General features: G+C 52.5%; 1 protein-coding gene across 9 annotated transcripts in view, besides 3 other annotated features; it reads right to left on the bottom strand.

Annotated features, from left to right (window-relative positions):
- Nucleotides 1-17,131, bottom strand: part of CFAP46 (cilia and flagella associated protein 46) — a 134,179-nt gene that overhangs the window by 4,680 nt on the left and 112,368 nt on the right. For 8 of the 9 annotated variants that reach the window (XR_007061969.1, NM_001200049.3, XM_047425387.1 and 5 more), the window contains exons 51-54: nucleotides 1,773-1,843; nucleotides 1,615-1,675; nucleotides 1,506-1,541; nucleotides 1,081-1,183 (exon numbers count right to left, since the gene is read on the bottom strand). Coding sequence is in view for 7 of the 9 variants with exons in the window: in NM_001200049.3 (NP_001186978.2) it covers nucleotides 1,081-1,183; nucleotides 1,506-1,541; nucleotides 1,615-1,675; nucleotides 1,773-1,843 (271 nt within the window). In the remaining 2 variants the exon portion in view is untranslated. Of the gene's footprint in view, nucleotides 1-1,080; nucleotides 1,184-1,505; nucleotides 1,542-1,614; nucleotides 1,676-1,772; nucleotides 1,844-14,444; nucleotides 14,551-17,131 lie in introns of those variants that run through there. The other variant, XR_007061970.1, reaches the window with a different exon arrangement.
- Nucleotides 4,305-4,805: an enhancer, noted in NCBI's record as "H3K4me1 hESC enhancer chr10:134630880-134631380 (GRCh37/hg19 assembly coordinates)". NCBI's record gives its function as "activates a minimal SCP1, AML or CMV promoter by ChIP-STARR-seq in naive and primed H9 embryonic stem cells {active_cell/tissue: H9 hESC(naive and primed)}" and the evidence as "EXISTENCE:reporter gene assay evidence [ECO:0000049][PMID:30033119]".
- Nucleotides 4,806-5,306: an enhancer, noted in NCBI's record as "H3K4me1 hESC enhancer chr10:134631381-134631881 (GRCh37/hg19 assembly coordinates)". NCBI's record gives its function as "activates a minimal SCP1, AML or CMV promoter by ChIP-STARR-seq in naive H9 embryonic stem cells {active_cell/tissue: H9 hESC(naive)}" and the evidence as "EXISTENCE:reporter gene assay evidence [ECO:0000049][PMID:30033119]".
- Nucleotides 13,222-13,721: an enhancer, noted in NCBI's record as "H3K4me1 hESC enhancer chr10:134639797-134640296 (GRCh37/hg19 assembly coordinates)". NCBI's record gives its function as "activates a minimal SCP1, AML or CMV promoter by ChIP-STARR-seq in primed H9 embryonic stem cells {active_cell/tissue: H9 hESC(primed)}" and the evidence as "EXISTENCE:reporter gene assay evidence [ECO:0000049][PMID:30033119]".

The following is a 17,131-nucleotide window of genomic DNA, read 5'->3' on the forward strand; positions in this document are numbered from 1 at the left end:
ACAGGGGTCACGGCGGAGCCTAGTCAAGGGGACCCACGGTGAGCATGGACTTCTACGCTGGAATGAACACCCCTACTCGGGCGGGGCTCGCTGCGGGAAACGCTAGGAGGGGCTTTCCCAATGGCCCAGCACCTGGAGGTCAAGGCACCCCCAGTACTCCAGGCATGGGAGACAGTGACCAGACCAGGGTTCCCTCCTTCCATACAGGATCCCAGCCCTGCCCCTGCAGCCCCACCCCTGCACACACCTGCCCCTGCAGTGCCACCCTCTGCACACACCTGCCCCTGCACACACCTGCCCCTGCAGCCCCACCTCTGCACACACCTGTCCCTGCACACACCTGCCCCTGCAGCCCCACCTCTGCACACACCTGTCCCTGCACACACCTGCCCCTGCAGTGCCACCCTCTGCACACACCTGCCCCTGCACACACCTGTCCCTGCACACACCTGCCCCTGCAGCCCCGCCCCTGCACACACCTGCCCCTGCAGCCCCGCCCCTGCACACACCTGCCCCTGCAGCCCCGCCCCTGCACACACCTGCCCCTGCAGCCCCGCCCCTGCACACACCTGCCCCTGCAGCCCCGCCCCTGCACACACCTGCCCCTGCAGCCCCGCCCCTGCACACACCTGCCCCTGCAGCCCCGCCCCTGGCGTGGAGCCTGTGACGTGGAACGATCCCTCCCACCCGTGGTGCTCTCTCCCTGATTGCTCTGTTCCCTGCTGGCTGCTTCTGGACACCTCTGGACCACGGAACCCCAAGGGCATCTGGGGGGCAGAGTCTGCGAGTGGTCTCTGGAGGGGCTGCAGTGCTGCTGGTGAAGAGGCAGCCCCTGCTGCTGGACCATGTGCTATCAGTGACCCTGGGGGCCCCAGGTCGCCATCTGTAAAGCAGGGTAACAGTGCCCCTCGCCCAGTCTCTGTGAGGATTCAAGGAGCTGGGTCTGTCTCAGCATTGCATGCTGTATGTGGCAGGACTGGCAGGGCAGACCCAGGGAGCCGGGGGTAGGGGGCAGTGGCTCCCCGCTGGACCCCCAGACCTGCCACACTGCAAACGGCTCCTGGGAGCCCAGATCCGAACCTGGGAAAGTGCTTGCTTCCCAGATGTCCCGCCCATCGCGACGTGAATGTGTCTTGGAATCTTTCCAAAATGTCTTGGGTGATGGAGACAGGAGTTAGCATTTCTGCAAGGAGAACAGGGTGGATACAGACCACGGTGTTTCATCAGACACGGGTGTGCAGGGCCGGGGTCCCTGGGGAGGGGTCACAGCGAATGCAGGCGCATATATCAGTGCCCTGCCATGCCCGGGTGGGGTGATGGTAGAACCAGGCTAGCCAGAGAGAAAACCTCAACAAATTAAAATATTTACAGCCAAAATGGGGCAAGCACATATGCAGATTTCGGAGCCTCGAGGAGTGGGGCACCAGTTGCTGCCCACAACTGCAGGACGGCAGGAGGCCCGAGGCTGGCGTGTGCCTGAACAGGGAGCCCTGTGCAGCACCCACCTGGGCCCTGGGCCTCCTCGTATGGGTCCACGACGACTGGGTCCCGGTCAAGGAGAAACGGGAGCACAGGGCGGGGTCTGGGGCCCCCCCGGGGCCCATCAAAGGATACACTTGAAGTTGTCTGAGTCGACTATGATGCAGTCAGGGGGGATGGTCCGGGGGATGCTGCCCTGCAACCACAGACCAGGGTCAGCAGGTGCAGGGGCCAGGAGCCTGACCTCCCGCTGTGCCCACCAGCCCGATCCCCTATCACAGGCCCCCACCCACCTTCCTGCCCTTCTTCGCTAGGCTTCTCTTTTTGGGGTCTCTGCTTCTTCCCTCCTTTTTCACGCCACCTTCTGTTGAAGACAAGAAAGAGGCAGGGATGTTTGGCAGCAGCTCGAGGCAGCCCTCCGGCCACACGGTCGGTTAATTTCATGTTATGCAAATTTCACTTAAATGAAAAAAAAAACAAGTTGTGAGAACAAGCGGTTTTAATTTGTGTAAAGTTGACGTGGCAATAACTTGTGAAATGCAAAGGTTCACAGGGTTGGGAAAGTCCTTAAGAAAGAACCAGTCTCCAAAGGCTCCAAGGCCCACCTGGCTGACCATTCACCCACCCCACTGGGTACTCACCAGTGTGCCTGCCATGCCCGGGCCCCTCACTGGTTCCAGGGCCTTCTGTACAGGGATTTACAACCTGCCCCTTTCGACACGAACACTTTCTTTTGCAGGCTCTGAGTAGATAGTCATGTGCCTGGGAAGGATGGCCACTTCCCTCCTGTTTCTGCCCCCGACTTTCCTTTCTGTGTGCCTATGCTGGGGCCTCCAGCAGACAGCGGAATGGACGCACGCATGGGGCCCACTGCCTGACCGCCTTCAAAGAGGCTGCTTCTGAGGGATCCTCATTAAGAAGGAGGCTGTCTCCAGCTTTTGATGGATTTCTTTATCAGGATGGGGCATTGCGTTTGGTTCCTGGCTCACGAAGTAAATATGTGCATTTTATCAAATGCTTTTCCCCTGCGCTGACTGAAATGCTTGCACTGTTCCTCTAGGACATCTGTACGTTTTAAGGTTAAACTGGGGCCCGGCACGTGGCTTATGCCTGTAATCCCAGTGTTTTGGGAGGCCGAGGAGGGAGGATCGCTTGAGCCCAGGAGGTGGAGGCTGCAGTGAGCTGTGATTGTGCCACTGGACTCCAGCCTGGGTGACAGAGCGAGACCGTCAGGAAGTGGGGAGGAAGGGAAGAGAAAAGCTGAACTGAGTGATGGCAGCTTATCTTTTTATGTATTTTTTGTGCTGTTCTGGGGCAGTCTGGGAGGAGGTAGGCTGGCCTAGGGAAGGATGGGAGGAGCTGTCTACTTTTCTATTACTGGGGAGATTTATCTAACACTGACATGATCTGTTTCTTGACAGTCTGGCAGAATTCAGTGAAAACATGGAAAAACATATTTTTTGTGGGAAGACTCAAATCCATCGATGTCCTTTTTTATTGGTTATGAGACTACTCAGGTTTGCTTTCTTCCTGGCATCGGAAGGTGTTTTCTCCTAGTATTTTGTCCTTGCTGCCCAGGGGTTTTGCTACGTTGATTCAAAGTTGCTCGGGGACTTCCGGGTTCTCCTGTCGCTGCTGGTGCGTCGTTAGCGCTGTGTCTTTCCGTTTCTGGCGTTCTCGGTTGCTCTTCTCTGTGGCATCTCTGTTTCCCTGGCGTCTTCTGCATGTTCTCCTCTGCTCACCTGGGGATCATTCTGCCTCCTTGCTCTGACTTCTTCTTTTTTTTTTTTTTTTTTTTTGAGACGGAGTCTCGCTCTGTCGCCCAGGCTGGAGTGCAGTGGCGCGATCTCGGCTCACTGCAAGCTCCACCTCCCGGGTTCACACCATTCTCCTGCCTCAGCCTCCCGAGTAGCTGGGATTACAAGTACCCGCCACCACGCCCGGCTAATTTTGTGTATTTTTAGTAGAGATGGGGTTTCACCGTGTTAGCCAGGATGGTCTCGATCTCCTGACCTTGGGTGATCCGCCCACCTTGGCCTCCCAAAGTTCTGGGATTACAGGCGTGAGCAATTGTGCCCGGCCAACTCTGACTTCTTAAATCAGATGCTGAGCTTCTGAATTCCTGGCGCTTTTCCTATTCTGACGTTGGCATTTACATCTGCAATACCTTCTAAGTTATGTTTAGCAACATCTCGCTAGTTTTTGACATTTCCATGATCATTTCATGTCTTCTGAGTCCCATGAGATATTTAGAAGTGAGCTGTTGAATTTTCAAGTGCGCGAGGATGGAAAAAAGTCTGCCTTCGGGAACTGCTTTCTACCCTCATCACGCTGTGGCCTCAGATGCGGGCCGTCTGCCTGTGTCTGAGGCACAGTGGGATTTGCTTCTCAATTTTGTGATTATTCCCAGGATACTTGAAAAGATTGCAAATCGCCACTTTTGAGGCACAGAGTTCCATGTCTCTATTAAGCCAAGATTGTTAATTATGTCGCCCTGAATCTCTCTCTTTTTGCTCTTTGTCTGGACCGTCAGTAATCCAGGCGTGGTAAAATCTCCCAGCGTTGGGGCTGGCCAACGGCTGCACCCCGCGGTTTTTGCTTTTTATTGCTTTTTGTATTTAGAGGCTATTTCATACCTCTGAGGAGGCGAACTTTCGATTCTCATGATGTCCATGTCCCTAATAATGCCTGGCTCTAAAGTCTGTTTCCTCTGAGAGTCAGACACCGGCCCTCCGGGTTACTCTTAAATATTTACTCATTTTCCCTTCTCTTGGTTTATCACGTGGGGGTCATTTGTGACGGGCGTGCTTCCTGCAAAGGGCATGCGGCTGGCACCTCTTATCTCCTGTGTCTTCTCACTGGCAGGGTTGGCCAATTTTCTTTTTTTGATATATGACATAAATGGGCCAACTTCTACCATCTTACTACTTTATTTTTATTTGTCCTGGTTTTCTACCTGTTTCTCCATGACCAGCTGTTGGATTTGATTGAGGTAACCGGCCCCTTCGTCTTCCTCATTCATTCTTCCTTCTCTATTTGTTGGGAGTTTGCACACCGACTCTCTGGTGGTGTCCTTAGCGCTTTACGGCAGTGCGGCCACACCTGGCGGCGCCCCAGACTCAGCGGTTGGCGGCTGAGGACACTCAAGGCTCTAGATCACCGGCAGCCCGGCTTTCAGTGACTCTGTGGTGAGGGTTCTGTTAGTTTGTGTGGCTGCTGTTAACCAATTACTACAAAACGCAGGCTTGATGTGGCACTGCTTCCTGTCTGACGGTTCTGGGAGTCGGAGGTCCGAATGGGGTCACTGGGTCACAGTGAACGGCGTCGGCCGCGCTCTGCCTGGAGGCTCCCGGGGAGAATCCTCTCCTGGCTCCTGGCCACGCCCTCCATCCTCACCGTCGGCAGCGCAGCCCCCAGGCTCCTTCTCCTGCTTCTCTTGTGTGAGGGCTTTCTCATCACCTGGGCCCACCCAGATCCCCAGGATCGTCTCAAGTCTGGAATCGCATCTGCAAAGCCCCAGGACCACGCGACGTCGCAGGCTCACAGGCACCCCTGGGCGGCCCGTGTCCTGCCAACCACACCGTTGCTGGAGCGTCTAGTTGGGCTGCTGCTTTCCTTTTCTGCCCCTGCCATGACAGTGGTGGCCGCGCCGGGCAGTGGGGAAGGGAAGGATGTTTCAATAAGCGATGTGCAGACAGCTGGATCCCCTCGTAGAAAAAACCTTAAACTCCACTTCACACTCCACAGAGTCCATCTCGGATGGCAGTTAGGTGGAAACGTGAAAGGTGGAACACAAAAAAAGATGCATTTAGAGGATGTCATCGGAGAATATTTTCATGATCATGAGGTGAAGAAAGATTTTAAAAACCCCGAACACACCTAATGACAAACCACAGCTAACAGTGAAAAGCACAAAGCTTTCACCTAAGATCAGAAACAAGGCAAGGAAGCCCACTCTTGACTATTTAAACAGCGCTGGAAGTCCCCACCAGAGCAGTCGGGAAAGAAAGAGAAATAACAGGCCAGGTGCGGTGGTTCATGCCTGTAATCCCAGCACTTTGGGAGGCCGAGGTGGGTGGATCACCTGAGGGCAGGAGTTTGAGACCAGCCTGACCAACATAGCCAAACCCCGTCTCTACTAAAATTACAAAAATTAGCTGGGTATGGTGGTGTGCACCTGTAATCCCAGCTACTCGAGAGGCTGAGGCAGGAGAATTGCTTGAACCTGGGAGGCTCAAGGTTGCAGTGAGCCGAGATTGCGCCACTGCACTCTAGCCTGGGCAACAGAGTGAGACTCCATCTCCAGAAAAAAAAAAAAAGAAAAAAAAGAAAGAACAGGCACACACATCAGAAAAAAAGATGTGAAATTATGTTTGCAGATAACAAGCTCTTATATATACAAGACCTCAAAGACTCTACCAAAAAACTGTTAGAACTAATAAATTAAGTAAAGTTGAAAGACACAAAATCAACATACAAAAATCAGTAGTATTTCTATACATTACAATGAACTATCATTAAAATCAGTACTATACATTACAATGAACTCATCATTACAATGAACTATCTAATTAAGAAATTAAGAAAACCACCCTATTTATAATATCATCAGAACGAATAAAATACTTAGGAATAAATTCAACTATCAAGTGAGAGATCTGTGCCTTGGAAACTGTAAGACACTGAGGAAACAAGTTGAAGGAGACATAAATAAATGGGAAGATATCCTGTGTTCATGGATTGGAAGAATTAATCTTTTTAATTGCCCATATTACCCAAAGCCTACAGATGCAATGCACTATCAAAATTCCAATGGCATTTTTGACAGAAATAGAAAAGCAATCCTAAAATTTATGAGGAGCCACAAAAGACCCTGAATAATCAAAGCAATCCTGAGCAAGAACAAAGCTGGTGGCATCACATTACCTGACTTGAAATTATGCAACAAAGCTATAGTAATCAAAACAATGTGGTACTGGTATAAAAGCAGACACTGGGCCCGATAGAAGAGAATGGAGAATCCAGAAATAAACCCACACGTTCAGGGTCAATTGATATTTGACAAAGGTGCCAAGAACACACAATGCGGAAATGACGGTCTCGTCAATAAACAGTGTTGGGGTAACCCAATATCCACACACAAAACAATGAGTTTGGAGCCTTATCTTACACCATCTACAAAAACCAACTCAAAATGGATTACAGGCTTAAATGTAAGACCTGAAACGATAAAACTACTAGAAGAAAACACAGGATAAAAGCTCCTTGACTGGGTCTTGGCAATGATTTTTTGGATATAACATTGAAATCATAAGCAACACAAGCAGAAATAAACACGTGAGATCACATCAAACTGAAAAGCTTCTGTATGGCTAAGGAAATAACGTAATGCAAAAGTGATCTATGGAGTGGGAGAAAATGAATGTAGAATGTATATTTGATAAGGGATCAATAGCCTAAGTATATAAGGAACTCCTATAATACAATAGTAAAAAACCAAACAACCCAATCGAAGAACGGGCCAAGGACCTGAAGGGACATTTCTCTAAAGAAGACATAAAAATGGCTAACAGGTTGATGAAAAGGTGACATCTAAAGGTGACGACGGAGCAGGTCTCAGCCTTAGCAAGATGACATCCTGTCGCCGTTGGCGACAACATGGATGAACCTTGAGGACATCACGCAAAGTGAAAAAAGCCAGGCACCGAAGGCCAGAGGCTGCATGATTCCATATACATGAGGAATCTAAGAGTGCAGCTCACAGAAGCAGAGTGAGTGGTGGCTGACGGGGGCTGGGGGAGGGAGTGAGAGGTGCTGGCCCAGGGTGCAAAGCCCTGGTGGTGCAGGATGAGGAAGCTCCGCTGACCCGCAGGGCAAAGGGTACACAGCGCTGATGTGTGCTGTGTGAGCACTGATGTGTGCTGTGAGTGCTGATGTGTGCTGAGTGCTGATGTGTGCTGTGAGTGCTGATGTGTGCTGTGTGTGCACTGATGTGTGCTGTGTGTGCTGATGTGTGCTGTGTGTGCGCTGATGTGTGCTGTGTGAGCACTGATGTGTGCTGTGTGTGCTGATGTGTGCTGAGTGCTGATGTGTGCTGTGAGTGCTGATGTGTGCTGTGTGTGCACTGATGTGTGCTGTGTGTGCTGATGTGTGCTGTGTGTGCGCTGATGTGTGCTGTGTGTGCACTGATGTGTGCTGTGTGTGCTGATGTGTGCTGTGTGTGCGCTGATGCGTGCTGTGTGAGCACTGATGTGTGCTGTGTGTGCTGATGTGTGCTGAGTGCTGATGTGTGCTGTGTGTGCGCTGATGTGTGCTGTGTGTGCTGATGTGTGCTGTGTGTGTGCTGATGTGTGCTGTGTGTGTGCTGATGTGTGCTGTGTGTGCGCTGATGTGTGCTGTGTGTGCTGATGTGTGCTGTGTGTGTGCTGATGTGTGCTGTGTGTGTGCTGATGTGTGCTGTGTGTGCTGTGTGCTGTGTGTGTGCTGATGTGTGCTGTGTGTGCTGTGTGCTGTGAGTGCTGATGTGTGCTGTGTGTGCTGATGTGTGCTTTGTGTGTGCTGATGTGTGCTGTGTGTGTGCTGATGTGTGCTGTGTGAGTGCTGATGTGTGCTGTCTGTGCGCTGATGTGTGCTGTGTGTGCTGTGTGAGTGCTGATGTGTGCTGTGTGCTGTGTGTGTGCTGATGTGTGCTGTGTGTGTGCTGTGTGAGCGCTGATGTGTGCTGTGTGAGTGCTGATGTGTGCTGTGTGTGCTGTGTGTTGTGTGTGCTGTGTGAGTGCTGATGTGTGCTGTGTGCTGATGTGTGCTGTGTGTGCTGTGTGCTGTGTGTGCACTGATGTGTGCTGTGTGTGTGCTGTGTGCTGTGTGAGCGCTGATGTGTGCTGTGTGAGTGCTGATGTGTGCTGTGTGTGCTGATGTGTGTTGTGTGTGCTGTGTGAGTGCTGATGTGTGCTGTGTGCGCTGTGTGCTGTGTGCTGATGTGTGCTGATGTGTGCTGTGTGCTGACGTGTGCTGTGTGTGCGCTGATGTGTGCTGTGTGTGTGCTGTGTGCTGTGTGTGCGCTGATGTGTGCTGTGTGTGTGCTGTGTGCTGTGTGAGTGCTGATGTGTGCTGTGTGTGCTGTGTGTGCTGATGTGTGCTGTGTGCTGATGTGTGCTGACGTGTGCTGTGTGCTGACGTGTGCTGTGTGTGCGCTGATGTGTGCTGTGTGTGTGCTGTGTGCTGTGTGAGTGCTGATGTGTGCTGTGTGTTGTGTGAGTGCTGATGTGTGCTGTCTGTGCGCTGTGTGCTGTGTGAGCGCTGATGTGTGCTGTGTGTGCTGTGTGCTGTGTGTGCAGTGATGTGTGTTGTGTGAGTGCTGATGTGTGCTGTGTGTGCGCTGATGTGTGCTGTGTGTGCGCTTGTGTGTGCTGTGTGTGCGCTGATGTGTGCTGTGTGTGCGCTTGTGTGTGCTGTGTGTGCTGATGTGTGCTGTGTGAGTGCTGATGTGTGCTGATGTGTGCTGTGTGTGCTGATGTGTGCTGTGTGTGCAGTGATGTGTGCTGTGTGAGTGCTGATGTGTGCTGTGTGTGCACTTGTGTGTGCTGTGTGTGTGCTGATGTGTGCTGTGTGCTGTGTGTGCTGATGTGTGCTGATGTGTGCACTGTGTGCTGTGTGTGTGCTGATGTGTGCTGTGTGCGGTGATGTGTGCTGTGTGTGCGCTGATGTGTGCTGTGTGTGTGCTGTGTGAGTGCTGGTGTGCTGATGTGTGCACTGTGTGCTGTGTGTGTGGTGATGTGTGCTGTGTGTGTGGTGATGTGTGCTGTGTGTGCAGTGATGTGTGCTGTGTGTGTGCTGATGTGTGCTGATGTGTGCACTGTATGCTGTGTGTGTGGTGATGTGTGCTGTGTGTGCAGTGATGTGTGCTGTGTGAGTGCTGATGTGTGCTGTGTGTGCTGTGTGTGCTGATGTGTGCTGTGTGCTGATGTGTGCTGACGTGTGCTGTGTGCTGACGTGTGCTGTGTGTGCGCTGATGTGTGCTGTGTGTGTGCTGTGTGCTGTGTGAGTGCTGATGTGTGCTGTGTGTTGTGTGAGTGCTGATGTGTGCTGTCTGTGCGCTGATGTGTGCTGTGTGTGCGCTTGTGTGTGCTGTGTGTGCTGATGTGTGCTGTGTGAGTGCTGATGTGTGCTGATGTGTGCTGTGTGTGCAGTGATGTGTGCTGTGTGAGTGCTGATGTGTGCTGTGTGTGCACTTGTGTGTGCTGTGTGTGTGCTGATGTGTGCTGTGTGCTGTGTGTGCTGATGTGTGCTGATGTGTGCACTGTGTGCTGTGTGCGGTGATGTGTGCTGTGTGTGCGCTGATGTGTGCTGATGTGTGCTGTGTGAGTGCTGATGTGTGCTGATGTGTGCACTGTGTGCTGTGTGTGTGGTGATGTGTGCTGTGTGTGCAGTGATGTGTGCTGTGTGTGTGCTGATGTGTGCTGTGTGTGCTGTGTGCTGTGTGTGCGCTGATGTGTGCTGTGTGCTGTGAGTGCTGATGTGTGCTGTGTGTGCTGATGTGTGCTTTGTATGTGCTGATGTGTGCTGTGTGTGTGCTGATGTGTGCTCTGTGTGCTGATGTGTGCTGTGTGAGTGATGTGTGCTGTCTGTGCGCTGTGTGCTGATGTGTGCTGTGTGTGTGCTGATGTGTGCTGTGTGTGTGCTGTGTGCTGTGTGAGCGCTGATGTGTGCTGTGTGAGTGCTGATGTGTGCTGTGTGTGCTGTGTGTTGTGTGTGCTGTGTGAGTGCTGATGTGTGCGGTGTGCTGATGTGTGCTGTGTGTGCTGAGTGCTGATGTGTGCTGTGTGCTGTGTGTGCACTGATGTGTGCTGTGTGTGTGCTGTGTGCTGTGTGAGTGCTGATGTGTGCTGTGTGTGCTGATGTGTGTTGTGTGTGCTGTGTGAGTGCTGATGTGTGCTGTGTGCTGATGTGTGCTGTGTGCTGATGTGTGCTGTGTGTGCTGTGTGCGCTGTGTGCTGTGTGCTGATGTGTGCTGATGTGTGCTGTGTGCTGACGTGTGCTGTGTGTGCGCTGATGTGTGCTGTGTGTGTGCTGTGTGCTGTGTGAGTGCTGATGTGTGCTGTGTGTGCTGTGTGCGCTGATGTGTGCTGTGTGCTGATGTGTGCTGATGTGTGCTGTGTGCTGACGTGTGCTGTGTGCTGATGTGTGCTGTGTGCGCTGATGTGTGCTGTGTGTGTGCTGTGTGCTGTGTGTGCACTGATGTGTGCTGTGTGTGTGCTGTGTGCTGTGTGAGTGCTGATGTGTGCTGTATGTTGTGTGAGTGCTGATGTGTGCTGTCTGTGCGCTGATGTGCGCTGTCTGTGCGCTGTGTGCTGTGTGAGCGCTGATGTGTGTGTGTGCTGATGTGTGCTGTGTGTGCAGTGATGTGTGCTGTGTGAGTGCTAATGTGTGCTGTGTGTGCTGCTTGTTTGTGCTGTGTGTGTGCTGTGTGCTGTGTGAGTGCTGATGTGTGCTGATGTGTGCTGTGTGTGCTGATGTGTGCTGATGTGTGCACTGTGTGCTGTGTGTGCGGTGATGTGTGCTGTGTGCGCTGATGTGTGCTGTGTGTGTGCTGATGTGTGCTGTGTGTGTGCTGTGTGCTGTGTGAGCGCTGATGTGTGCTGTGTGAGTGCTGATGTGTGCTGTGTGTGCTGTGTGTTGTGTGTGCTGTGTGAGTGCTGATGTGTGCTGTGTGCTGATGTGTGCTGTGTGTGCTGAGTGCTGATGTGTGCTGTGTGCTGTGTGTGCACTGATGTGTGCTGTGTGTGTGCTGTGTGCTGTGTGAGCGCTGATGTGTGCTGTGTGAGTGCTGATGTGTGCTGTGTGTGCTGATGTGTGTTTTGTGTGCTGTGTGAGTGCTGATGTGTGCTGTGTGCTGATGTGTGCTGTGTGCTGATGTGTGCTGTGTGTGCTGTGTGCGCTGTGTGCTGTGTGCTGATGTGTGCTGATGTGTGCTGTGTGCTGACGTGTGCTGTGTGTGCGCTGATGTGTGCTGTGTGTGTGCTGTGTGCTGTGTGAGTGCTGATGTGTGCTGTGTGTGCTGTGTGCGCTGATGTGTGCTGTGTGCTGATGTGTGCTGATGTGTGCTGTGTGCTGACGTGTGCTGTGTGCTGATGTGTGCTGTGTGTGCGCTGATGTGTGCTGTGTGTGTACTGATGTGTGCTGTGTGTGTGCTGTGTGCTGTGTGAGTGCTGATGTGTGCTGTATGTTGTGTGAGTGCTGATGTGTGCTGTCTGTGCGCTGATGTGTGCTGTCTGTGCGCTGTGTGCTGTGTGAGCGCTGATGTGTGTGTGTGCTGATGTGTGCTGTGTGTGCAGTGATGTGTGCTGTGTGAGTGCTAATGTGTGCTGTGTGTGCTGCTTGTGTGTGCTGTGTGTGTGCTGATGTGTGCTGTGTGAGTGCTGATGTGTGCTGATGTGTGCTGTGTGTGCTGATGTGTGCTGATGTGTGCACTGTGTGCTGTGTGTGTGGTGATGTGTGCTGTGTGTGCGCTGATGTGTGCTGTGTGTGCGCTGATGTGTGCTGTGTGAGTGCTGATGTGTGCTGATGTGTGCACTGTGTGCTGTGTGTGTGGTGATGTGTGCTGTGTGTGCAGTGATGTGTGCTGTGTGTGTGCTGTGTGCTGTGTGCGCTGTGTGCTGTGTGTGTGCCCTGATGTGTGCTGTGTGTGTGCCCTGATGTGTGCTGTGTGAGTGCTGATGTGTGCTGTGTGTGTGCTGATGTGTGCTGTGTGTACTGATGTGTGCCGTGTGCACTGATGTGTGCTGTGTGTGTCCACCGCGCTGTGGGCTCAGAACCCACTGGGAGGGTGGAGCTCATGTTAGCATTTCTTACCATCTACAGACACGCAATATAAAGGGGCAGGAGGAGCCTTTGGGAGGCGATGAACACGTGCATGGCCTGATCACGATAATGTCTTCGTGGACACACTCATCCACAAACTCACTGAGTGGTCTATGTTAGGCATGTACAGCTTCTTACATGCCGGTCACACCTCAACAAAGTGGCTTAGAAAACATGCTAAAAGCACCAGCTATTAAGAAAAAGATTGATAAATTAGACTATAATAACATTAAAATATTTTGTTCATCAAAAGACCCATTTAAGAGAGTGAAAAGAACTGGTACAGAGAAGACATTTGTCATTCATATAAACAATAAAAATTATATCCAAAGTATACCAGGAAAATCCAACAAACCTCAAAGAACAAAACCCAGATAACCCCACAGAAGAACCGGTGAGAGACAAAACAGGCTCTTCACAAACAGCTGGTTGGTGAAAAGCCGAAAGGGCTGGGACTCCCGGGCACACCAGGACATGCAGACAGACAGGGTGTCTGGTAACGGGGGGTGGGGCAGATAAATTGTGGTGGGTGGAACACGGCCGGCCACAGAGACCAGCCACGGAGCCAGGCAGGAACCAGAGCCACAGAGACCAGCCACGGAGCCAGGCAGGAGCCGGAGCCATGGAGCCAGGCAGGAGCCGTAGCCACAGAGACCAGCCACGGAGCCAGGCAGGAGCCGGAGCCACAGAGACCAGCCACGGAGCCAGGCAGGAGCCGGAGCCACAGAGACCAGCCACGGAGCCAGGCAGGAGCCGGAGCCACGGAGACCAGCCACGGAGCCAGGCAGGAGCCGGAGCCACGGAGACCAGCCACGGAGCCAGGCAGGAGCCGGAGCCACGGAGACCAGCCACGGAGCCAGGCAGGAGCCGGAGCCGCAGAGACCCACCACAGAGCCAGGCAGGAGTCGGAGCCACGGAGCCAGGCAGGAACTGGAGCCACAGAGACCAGCCACGGAGCCAGGCAGGAGCCAGAGCCACAGAGACCAGCCATGGAGCCAGGCAGGAGCCAGAGCCACAGAGACCAGCCACGGAGCCAGGCAGGAGCCGGAGCCACAGAGACCTGCCACAGAGCCAGGCAGGAGCCGGAGCCACGGAGCCAGGCAGGAACCGGAGCCACGGAGACCAGCCACGGAGCCAGGCAGGAGCCGGAGCCACAGAGACCAGCCACGGAGCCAGGGAGGAGCCGGAGCCACGGAGACCAGCCACGGAGCCAGGCAGGAGCCGGAGCCACAGAGACCAGCCACGGAGCCAGGGAGGAGCCGGAGCCACGGAGACCAGCCACGGAGCCAGGCAGGAGCCGGAGCCACAGAGACCAGCCACGGAGCCAGGCAGAAGCTGGAGCCACAGAGCCAGGCAGGAGCTGGATGCAGCATGTGCCCTCAGATGCCATTTGCACGAGTTTAATAACAGGCACCCCAGGCTGCAGGATTTTGGGGTGCTGATCTTGGAGGTGAGGTGATAAAAGGCCCTGGCTTTGCAGTACAGTCAGGAGGGTGGGCGCTGTGGGCGGCGAGCTGGGCTGGGGAAGCAGGAGTGGCTCTCGGGTGGGTGCAGGTGCTGCCTCCTGCCTGATTCTCCATTTGGGCATTTTTCTAGAGCCATGGTGCACTTCACTATCAAAAACGGTTTCCGACACCTCCATGAGCCTCGTGTCTGTGCCAACCGACTCCAGCTCCGGGCTCCCTGCCTCTCCACCCGGCACTCCCACCCTCTCCACAGCCTGAGCCCCACCCAGTCCTGGGCCACTGAGCCACCCTCCTGCCATGCAGGGCAGACACAACCCCACACGGTGCTCGTCAGGGGAAGGCAGGAGGGCGGCCGGAGGGACCAGCCACAGTTCCGAGAAGGGGCTGACCGTGGCCTGTGATGGACGGGGCACCCAGTGGGCCAGAATCAGACGGAGAACAGCTATAAGCTGCCACGCCGACTGCTGTGGGAGCTCCTGGGCCTGGAGGAGCCTCCCTGGGACACGGTGCCTGCAGGGCCCTCTGTCCTTGGACCTCCTCCTTCAAGGATCCACTTCGCACATGTGCCCTTCTGCAAACTTCCGTGACACCGATGCAAATTTGCTCTTTCTGTATTTCATGTAAAAAATTTCCACTCACAAGCAGGAGACTCCACGAGGCCTTGGGGTCACAGGAAGGCTCGGAGTGCCAGAGTACAGAGTCCAATTTGAGCATTGTTCAGGTTCAACTGACCACAGGGAGCTGCCTGCATTTAAAGTGAGCAACGTGACGGGACTGGACGCTGCACGCCAGCAAGTCATCGCCACAGCGAAGGTCACGGCACACCCAGCCCCAGGAGCTTCCCCAAAATGCCTGCAACCCTCCCTCCTGCACCCACGACCCTCCCCCAACTTCTCCTGCAGCCCCAGCCCCCACCCCCAGGAAGCAACTTACCTGCCTTCTGACTTGTACATTGGTTTGTATTTCCCAGGCTTTTGTAAAAATGAAACCATCCCTGTGCACTCCCTTGATCCAGCCTCTTTCCCTCAGCGTAATCCTTCTGAGTGAGCCCCGTCACCCCTCGGCGTAATCCTTCTGAGTGAGCCCCGTCACCCCTCAGCGTAATCCTTCTGAGCCCCGTCTACGCTGTCCCACGCACCAACAGCTCGCCCCTCATTGCCGGGCAGGACCCCACCACGTGGCCGCACCCCAATGTGCTCATCGCCCACTGGGTGTCCAGGTGTCCGTCCTGTGGGTGATGGATCTTTCTGTGGTTTCCCGGTTTAGGTCATTGCAGATAACGCTGCTGTAAACATGTGTATGAGTTTCTGCGGGACGCGTGTCTCCTTATCTCTTTGGTAGATGGAGTGGAATGACTGCGGCATACAACAGGCCTGCTTTAACTTCTTAAGAAACTGCCAAACTGTCTTCCAAAGTGGCTCCAGCATTCACCATTCCCACCAGCCGAGTATGAGGGTTCCGGTTCCACACCCTCCCAACACGCGCTCTGGTCGACTGTGTGAGTTTCACCCATTCTAACAGGTGTGCAGGGGTATTCCATTGTGGTTTCCATTTGCATTTCCTTGATAATTAATGATGTCGGGCATCCTTCCATCGTACTTTGTTTGCTATCTAAATCTTTTCTCGTGAAGTATCTGTTCAAATCTTTTTTAGGGTTGTTTCTTTCTTATTATTCAGTTTTGAGAGTTCTTTATATAGTCTAAATTTGTTACTGTTATCAGATTCTTCCAGTCTTGGCGTAACTTTTCATTTTCTTAACAATATCTTTCAAAGAGTGGAAATTCTTAAATTTGCTGACGGTCATAAAGATTTTCTTCAGTGCTTTCTGCTAGAAATGTGAGGGTCTTTGGTCTCGGATCCATTTCGAGCTGATTTTCCTGCGTGGCGTGCGGCCTCGTTTTTGTTGTGTTTCGTTCTGCACTTGGACGTCCAGGGACTGCAGCCACTCATGGAGATGCCCTTCCTCCGCTCAGCGTCCTCGTCCCTTTGCCAGCCACCACCCGGCTGTGCACCTGTGGCGTGCTTCTGGTTCCCCGCCCCATCCCCTGGGTCTACACGGCTACCGTCACGCCTGCGCTCCACTGTATCAATACTGCACCCATGTGACGGGGTCCTGACATCAGGTGGCGTGTGCCCTCCTGTTTTGGCTATTATAGGGGTCCCTTACATTTTTATATAACTTTTAGAATAAGCTTGTTAACTTCTACAAAAAAAAAAAAAAAAACATCCTGTGGAGATTTTGACTAGAATTGTGTGGAATCTATAGATCACCTTGGGGCAAGGTGACACCTTGGCAATATTGGGCCTTCTCATCTAAGAGCATGATGTTTCTCTCCATTTGTTGAGTTCTTTAATCTCTCTCGGCAATGTTTTATAGTATGAGCGTATAAAGTCTTGCACCTTTTGTCAAACTTATCCCTAATTATTTCCTGGCTTGGAAGCTATTGTCAATGGTAGTGTTTTAAGTTTTAATTTCTGATAGTTAGTTATATAGAAATGCAATTGGTTTTTGTACCTTGACTTTTATATCCTTCAACCTTGCCAAAATCACTCACTAGTCAGAGTAGCTTTTTCTGTAGATTAGACTACATTTTCTACACAGATGATGAGACCACCTGCAGAGAAAGACCACCTAGATGCTTTTCCTTTTTTCTTCCTGCCTCTCTACTCCGGCCGGGATCTCCAGCGTGGTGCTGACACTGCAGTGAGCGGCCCTGCCTGGCTGCTGGCCTTAGGGGATGGCCTCAGCCTCCTGCCAACCTGCGACGCTCAGGGGCAGGTGTTCTGCAGATGTCCTTTGCCAGCTGGAAGAAGCCGCCTTCCCCTCCTCATTTTCTGAGAGTTTGTATTCCGAATGGATGTTGGGTTTTGTCAAATGCTTTTCTGCATCTATTGCAATCATCAGATAGTCTTTATTTTTTAGCTTATGAATGCGGTGAATTACATTGGCTGATTTTTCAAATATTAAATTAATTACCCTTGTATTTCTGGGTTAAAACCCACGTGGACATAATATAAATCCTTGTAACATATTGTTTTGCTCCATTTCCTAACATTTTGTTAAGAATGTTATTAGCATCTATAGCCATGAGGCATATTGGTCCATTTTTTTTTTTTAATCTCCTAATGTCTTTTTCTGGGTTTGGTATCCGGATAATGCCAGCCTCAGAAAATCAGTTGGGAAGCAGAGTCTCCTCTTTTAATTGCTGTGGGAGGATGTGTGTAGAAATCCTCTGGGTATAGATGTTTTTTCTTTTCTTTTTCTTTTCTTTTTTCTTTTTTTTTGAGATGGAGTCTCGCTCTGTCACCCAGGCTGGAGTACAGTG

The sequence above is a fragment of the Homo sapiens genome, chromosome 10, assembly GCF_000001405.40.
Source record: "Homo sapiens chromosome 10, GRCh38.p14 Primary Assembly".
NCBI lineage: Eukaryota > Metazoa > Chordata > Mammalia > Primates > Hominidae > Homo > Homo sapiens.